Consider the following 8,734-nt stretch of genomic DNA (forward strand, 5'->3'; position numbering starts at 1 on the left):
GATGGTATCTCACTGTGGTTTGATTTGCATTTCTCTAATTATCAGTGATGTTAAGATTTTCATTATATGATTGTTGGCTGCACGTACGTCTTCTTTGGAAAAAATGTCTGTTCATGTCCTTTGCCCACTTTGTTATGGGGTTGTTGGTTTTTTTCTTGTAAATTTGTTTAGGTTCCTTATAGATAATGGAGAGTAGACCTTAGTCAGATGCATAGTTTGCAAAATTTTTCTCCCATTCTGTAGGCTGACTGTTTACTCTGTTGCTAGTTTCTTTTTCTGTGCAGAAGCTCTTTAGTTTAATTAGGTCTCATTTGTCAATTTTTGCTTTTGTTTCAATTGCTTTTGGCATCTTCATCATGAAATCTTTGCTGTGCCTGTGTCCTGAATGGTATTGGCTAGGTTTTCTTCTAGGGTTTTTATAGTTCTGGGGTTTACATTTAAGTGTTTAATCCATCTTGAGTTAATTTTTATATATGGTGTAAGGAAGGGGTCCAGTTATAATTTTCTGCATATGGCTAGCCAGTTATTCCAACACCATTTATTGAACAGGAAATCCTTTCCCCATTGTTGTTTTTGTAAAGTTTGTCAAAGTTCAGATAGTTGTAGGTATGTGGTTTTATTTCTGAGTTCTCTATTCTGTTCCACTGGTCAATGTGTTTGTTTTTCTACCAGTACCATGCTGTTTTGGTTACAGTAGCCCTGAAGTATAGTTTGAAGTCAGGTAGTGTGATGTTTCCAGCTTTCTTCCTTTTGCTTAGGATTGCCTTGGCTTTGTTTTGGCTCTTTTTTGGTTCCATATGAATTTTAAAATAGTTTGTTCTAGTTCTGTGAAGAATGCCAGTGGTAGTTTAATAGGCACAGCATTGAATCTATAAATTGCTTTGGGCAGTATGGCCATTTTCACGATATTAATACTTCTTATCCATGAGCATGAAATGTTTTTCCATTTTTTTGGTGTCATCTCTGATTTATTTGAGCAGTGGTTTGTAGTTCTCTTTGTAGAGATCTTTCACCTCCATAGTTAGCTGTATTCATAGGTATTTTATCATTTTTTGGCAATTGTGAAAGGGAGTTTGTTTCTGATGTGGCTCTTGGCTTGACTGTTGTTGGTGTATAGGAATACTTATGATTTTTTGCACATTGATTTTGTATCCTGAGACTTTGCTGAAGTCACTTATCAGCCTAAGAAGCTTTTGGGATGTGACTATAGGGTTTCCTAGATATAGGATCATGCCATCTGCAAACAGGGATAGTTTGATTTCCTCTCTTCTTATTTGCATTCCATTTCTTTCTTTCTTTCTCCTGCCTGATTGCCCTGGCCAGAACTTCCAATACTATCTTGAATAGGAGTGGTGAGAGAGGGCATACTTGTCTTGTGCTGGTTTTCAAGAGGAATACTTCCAGCTTTTCCCCCTTCAGTATAATGTTGGCTGTGGGTTTGTCATATATGTCTTTTATTATTTTGAGGTATATTTCTTCAATACCTAGTTTGAGAGTTTTTCAAGATAAGTAGGTGTTGAACTTTATCAAATGCCTTTTTTGCATCTATTGAGATAATCATGTGGTTTTTGCCTTTAGCTCTGTTTATATGATGAATCACATGTATTGATTTGTGTATGTTAGATGAACCTTGTATCCTAGGGATAAAGCCTACTTGATTGTGGAGGATGGGGTTTTTGATGTGCTGCTGAATTTGGTTTGCCAGTGTTTTGTTGAGGATTTTTGCATTGATGTTCATCAAGGACATTGGCCTGAAGTTTTCCTTTTTTGCTGTATCTCTGCCAGGTTTCGGCATCAAGATGATGCTGGCTTCATAGAATGAGTGAGTGAGGAGTCCCTCCTCCTCAATTTTTTTGGAATAGTTTCAGTATAAATGTGTATTAGTCTGTTTGCATGCTGCTATAAAGTACTACCCAAGATTGGGTAATTTATAATGAAAGCAGTTTACTCACGGTTCCACATTGCTGGGGCAGCATCAGGAAACTTATGATTATGGCAGAAGGGGAAGCAAACATTTCCTTCTTCACATGATGGCAGGAAGGAGATAATAAGAGCCCAGTGAAGGGGGAAGACCCTTATAAAACCATTAGATATTGTGAGAACCTACTCACTATCACGAGAATAGCATGGAGGAAACCACCCCCGTGATTCAACTACTTCCCACTGGGTCCTTCCAATGACATGTGGAGATTATGGGAACAACAATTCAAGATGAGATTTGGGTGAGGACACAGTAAAACCATATCATTTTTTCTTTCATTTTGACCTTGGAGAATCTGATGATTATGTGTCTTGGGGATGATCCTTTCAAGGGTTGTCTTACAGGGGTTCTCTGTATTTCCCGAATTTGAATGATGTGAATGTTGGTCTCTCTGGCTAGGTTGGGAAAGTTCTCATGAATGATATCCTGAAATATGTTTTCCAAGTTGGTTTCATTCTCCTCATCTCTTTCAGGGACACCCATCAGTAGTAGATTTGGTCTGTTTACATAATCCCATATTTTTTAGAGTTCTTTTTATTTCCTTTTCATTCTTTTTTTTCTCTATTCTTGTCTGCCTGTCTTATTTTAGAAAGGCAGTCTTCAAGCTCTGAGATTCTTTCCTCTACTTGGTCTCTTCTGCTATTAATACTTGTGATTGCATTATGGGATTCTCGTAGTGTGTTTTTCAGCTCTATCAGGTCACTTACATTCTTCTCTATGCTGGCTATTTTGTCTGTCAGCACCTGCAATGTTTTATCACGATTTTTAGCTTCCTTGCTTTGAGTTACAACATACTCCTGTAGCTTAGGGAACTTTGTTCCTATCCATATTCTGAATTCTACTTCCATCATTTCAGCCATCTCAGCCTCAGCCCAGTTCCAAACCCTTGCTGGAGAGGTGATGCGTTCATTTGAAGGAAAGAAGGTACTCTGGCTTTTTGAGTTTTCAGCATTCTTGTGCTGATTCTTTCTAATCTTTGTGGGCTTATCTACCTTCAATCTTTGAGGTTGCTGACCTTTGGATTTTTTTTTTCTTTTATCCTGTTTGATGAGCTTGAGGGTTTGATTATAGTACAAGGTGGATTCAGCCAACTAGTTTCATTTCTGAAAGATTTAACGGGCCAATGTTCAGCTCCCAACTCCTGGACTGTGTGCTCTAACTCTGGGGGACTTGTATTGGACCCTGACTTTGTTCTCTGGATACTCCAGGTTTGGAGTCTACTGCACTGTGGGGACTGAGGTGCAGCAGTTGCAGACAAGTGTTAGTGGATTCAGAGGTGCCCAACTCCCTGTGGGCATTCACCACAGTAGGCATTCCTCTCCATGAGAGCCACACACATTATTGGCAGTTGGGTGTGGGGAGTGGGGGGGCCCTTGCTGGAGACTGTTTGTGCTGTTGCACTGGAGGTGTTGTTGGTTTGGGGTGAAGTGCTGGCCAGTGCAGGTCTGGTGCCTTTTCTGAGCCCTGCAAGCAGGAGTTATTACTCAGGGTGTGGGAGGATCCCCTGTTCCCTGAACAGTGTTAGCGCAAGAGCAGGGCACTGGCAGGGGTGGGGCTTGCTGGATTTGTGCCCGCCAAGGCTCTGTCTGCAGTGGTAGTCTGTGGGGGTCGGGGTGCATACTGCAGTCCTATGTGTTGGCGGGGCAATTAAAGTAAAACTCGTGCAGACACACACCAGCAATGTGATGTGGGGAGTTGCTGTGGGCTCAGGGGATGCTGCAATATGGGGAAGCAATGTGTGGGTTGGTGCACAGTCATAGGTGCCACCTTGCTGGAGCTCTCCATCAGTCAGGTATGGTCCACTGGCTCAGAAGCTATGGTATGGGTATGGTATGGTCCCCCAGGGGACCCAAGACTGTCCTGTAAGTAGGTGTGGCGAGGCTGGGGTCCCGGGAGAGGCCAACAGACCAAGAAGTGCTTAGGTTGGACCAGACCTGTCTGATGTGCAAGACCTCCCTGTGAAGATCAGGTTCAACAATTCCCCTAGGGCTAAAAAGTCTCTTAAGAGAGCAAGTCGAGCACAGGGGGATGGCTGTCTCTCACCACGCTCTGCTACAGATGATTCTGCACCAAACCCTCTGGGCTCCACATCAGCTGGCTTGCTGCTCCACCACTTTGCTTCTCTCCTGGGGGCTCTACCCCAGAGAGATGTTGCTTAGCAGTAGCTCAGGGCAATCAGCCCAGGATGGAGGGTCTGTGCTGTGGGCCTAAGCCTGGGGTTTCTTGTCTGGTGACAAGCAGTGGGGGTGTGTAGGACCTGTGGGAGATGGACTGGCCTCCTCTCCTTGGGTTGACTGCAGCTTGTTGGAGGTATGGATAAAGCACTTAGGGCCTTGGCTTTTTTGTTAACCTGAGGGTAAGAAGGGCAGTTCCACTGCAGAGGCAGTGATAGATAGGCTTTCAATGTCCCTAAAGGCTCTGTCCAGGGAGTTGCTGAGTTGCTACTGGCTCGATAGCTCTGTCAGAGGGTGGCTAGAAGCCCAGGCTTGGAGGACCTGCCCAGTGAGGAGATATGGGAATGGGCACCCCTATAACAGTCTGACCACTTTTCCGTATGGCTACTGAAGTATGCTGGGGACCTGCTCCAGTCCCTAGTCGCCTCGAATTTTCCAGTACCTGGAAGTATCACCAGTGAAGGCTGTGAAACAGCAAAGATGGCGGCCTGCCCCTCCCTGTGGGAGCTCTGTCCCAGGGAGGTGCAGGACTGTTGCTGGCTGAACACACCTGTTGGAGGTGCCTGAAGACCCCAGTTGGGAGGTCCCACCCAGTCAGGAGGAACAGGATCGGGGACTCACTGAAAAAAGTAGTCTGGTTACATTTTTGTAGAGCAGCTGTGCTGTGCTGGGGGATCTCATTCACCCCTGGTCTGTTTGGACTCTCCAAAGCCCAAAGGCAGTAACGGCTCTCTCTCAAACAGCAGAGATGGTGGCCCACCCTTCCCCCGAGGAGTTCCATCCCAGGAAGGTGCAATGCTGCTACTAGTTGCAGGCTGGAATTCCAAGTTACTGGGTCTCATCCTGGAATTCCAAGTGAGGCACCGTGGAAATGTGGCCCACAGACTGTCGCTGCTCGGCCGCCTGGATTCAGCCTCCTTCCTAGGGGTATGTATGGTGCGGGGGTGGGGGGCGGCTAACTTCCCGCTTTGCTGGAGTTGCAACTACTTTTGGTCGGATGCCTGGAAAGCCAGAGTATCTAAAGCTCCTGAGTCTCTGCGTGCACCTGAGCGGCTGCTCTGCCAAAACTCAACAGATGTCTGTGTGTCAGACTGAAGGCCCCGATAGAGTGGGTTCATGAGGGGATCTCCTGACCTGAGGGTTGCAAAGGTCCATGGGAGAAGCTTGGGTTCCTGGGGTTGCACATTCGCTCATGGCTTCTCTGGGCAGGGGAGCTTCCCTTGGCTCCATGTCGCTCTGGGTGGGCAGTCATCCTCCCTTGCTTTTTCACTGTTCTTGGTAGGTCGAGTTGTTTCCTTGATTAGTGCCAGTGTGAGTACTTGGATGTTTCAGTTGAAGGTGCTGTATTTACTTGTCCCTTCCATTCCTTTCCGTGAGAGCCACACACATTATCTGCTTCTAGTTGGTCTTCTTGGCCACTCCCCAGAGAAATTTTTAATTTTGATGGTAGAGTTTATCATATTTTTCTTTTATGGTTCTTACTTTCTGTGCTCCCTCAAAGTCACAAAGATATTTTCCTGTTTTCATTGTATGCTTTATAGTTTTAGCTTTTCTGTTTAGGTCCATGATCCATCTCAAATTAATTTTTGTGTACGGTATAAAACTAGGATCAAAGTTGTTCACCCATCTCCATGTAGGTGCTCCTTTTTTTTTTTTTTTTTTTTTTTGAGACAGGGTCTGACTTTTTCACCCAGGTCAGAGTGCAGTGGCACGATCTCGGCTCACTACAACCTCTACCTCCCTGGGCTCAAGGGATCCTCCCATTTCAGCTGGGACTATGGGCGTGAGCCACTGCACCTGGCCTAGCATAAATTTTTAAAAGACTTTCCTTCTATAATTGGATGGCTTTGTAACCCTTATCAAAAATCAAATAACCATGGAAGTGTGGGTCTATTTCTGGGTTCTCCATTCTGCACCATTGTTCTACTTGCTAATCCTTATGTCAGTGCCATGGTTTCTTGATTGCTTTAGCTTTGTAGTATATATGGAAATCATTTTGTATAAAATCTGCAGCTTTATTTCTTTTTCCAAAATGCTTTGGGTATTCTAGGCTCCTTACATTTTGATATACATTTTAGAATAAGCTTGTCAATTTTTTAAAAATATCTTGCTGGGATTATGACTTATATTGCTTTGAATCTGTACATCTGTAGGGAGAATTGTCATCTTAACAACTTGACTCTTCAAATTCCCACTTATTTTGGTCCTTTTTAATGTCTTCACAATGTTTTGTAGTTTTTGGGTTAGAGGTCTTGCAATCTTTTATTAAATTCACTCCTATCCAGTCAATACTTTCGTAGCTATTGTAAAAGCATTAAAACATTTTTATTTTCCAACTGTTTTCTGCTTATATAATGACAGCATTTTTGAGCTCTTACTTTATGTTATATCTATGACTTCACCCTTGCTACCTGGAAAATAGACTAAACCCATCTCTAGTGCAAATGAAAGACTTTCAAAACACATATGAAAATCTGCTTGGTGTGCTCATTTTTCCCCTAAATTACCATATCTCCTCTGCCACAGCTTGATATCAGCTGATGCCATCATCAGAACCTGTATAATCCTATACCACTTAGTGGTGAATAAAAGTGTTCTAGTTGTCCTTATGAACCACTGACCCTCTATAGCTGAATGGAGTACACTAGATTCTTTATCACTTATAATATTATGTGATCATGGTCTTCAAACCCACAGGTCCTAAATCTGAAACAGGAAGTGTATTTGTGTGTGTTTAGAAAATTACACTTGAACTTATTAGTGAAAATAGAATGATTTTTATTTTATATATGACTAATTGGTCATAGTGACAATAATATGCTATGGCTGTAATGAAGTTAGAAATGGGGAGTAGAAAGATTTTTATATATTACCACTTGACTAATCACAGGAAGAAATAAAGTCAGAGGTGGAGATAATCTATTTCAATGATTTTTCTTTCTGTACCCTGTTACTATTTTTTCATTAGAAATATTACACAGAGTTCAAATATTTTTTAAAAATAGAAAAGAGCATAATTGCTCTGGCTTAAGTGATGGTAGAGGTTTTAGATCTAATGTCTTACTGTGGAACCTTTTTTGTTATGCTAGGGGTCAGAGGAGAAGTTGGGAAAATTGCAGACCTACTCACATCATCCTATTTTAAAGAAGTAAGGACAATAATCTTGGTTCTTAAGTCTGGCCTAGCAATTTACACAAATTTTTGTATCTGAGCAAGTCACTTAACTTTCTGTTAGTATTAGTTTCTCATCTGTTAATTGGGGACATGATATCTGTTGTACATACCATCAAGTTATTGTAGGGATTATATGAGACGACGCAAGTTGAAAGGGCTTTAGAAACTGTAAAGAATTCCCTACATGTAAAATTACATTATCATTGTTACAAAAGTCACCTCTCCATTGCAATAACATTTTAGTGATAAAAGGATGGCTTATATAATAAACTAAATTGGGTGTGTCTTATAGCAACGGCTGTCTTATCTGTAGTGTTAGTCCTGTGAGATTTTATCATGTCTTATTATCTGTGGAAGATAAATGATATCTGTGTGGTGACCTGATGCAGACCAGTCACAAACCAAGGGATCAGAAGAATTGTTATAAATATATAATGTACCAGATCTCAAAATAATGTACCATAGCAATGAACAGTAGGAAATAAGGTGGATTATTTTGAAGCATGGCCATGGGTCACAACTGACAACTTCCTATAATCACAAACCCTGTAAAATATCAACCATAGCTTGTGACTGATGGATGCTCTTCCTTCCAGTCATTCTAAAGAAGCTGACACATCTATATTCATTTCATAGGCATGAGTTTTGAACACTGTATCCCTTGATGTGGATTGCAATGATGTCAGCATTATAAAACAACCATAGATATTTGTGTTGAAAGTTACCAAACACATGCACATGTATGTTTATCGTGGCACTGTTCACAATAGCAAAGTCTTGGAACCAACACAAATGCCCATCAATGATAGACTGGATAAAGAAAATGTGGCACATATACACCATGGAATAGTATGCAGCCATAAAAAAGGATGAGTTCATTTCCTTTCCAGGGACATGGATGAAACTGGAAGCCATCATTCTCAGCAAAGTAACACAAGAAGAGAAAACCAAACACTGCATATTCTCACTCATAAGTGGGAGTTGAACAATGAGAACACATGGACACAGGGTGGGGAACATTACACATCGGGGCCTGTTGGGGGTGGGGGTCTGGGGAAGGGATAGCATTAGGAGAAATACCCAATGCAAATGACGAGTTAATGGGTGCAGCAAACCAACATGGCACATGTATACCTATGTAACAAACCTGCACGTTGTGCACATGTACCCCAGAACTTAAAGTATAATAATAATAATAATAAAGAAAGTTACCAAACTAAAGCATAAACAATCCTTCAGATGATCTTTTAGTAAGAGAAATAAATAGGTGTAATGGTCTGACCTGTAGTTTGTTTTTGAGTTTGTAAGTATCTGAAGCTTGAGGTTATTTTGGAATCAATAGAAGAGCTAATTTATTAAAATAATTTGATTTATATTAATCAGCAAGCACAGTGTCACATACTTA

The sequence above is a fragment of the Homo sapiens genome, chromosome X (genome assembly GCF_000001405.40).
Source record: "Homo sapiens chromosome X, GRCh38.p14 Primary Assembly".
In the NCBI taxonomy this organism is placed as follows: Eukaryota; Metazoa; Chordata; class Mammalia; order Primates; family Hominidae; genus Homo; species Homo sapiens.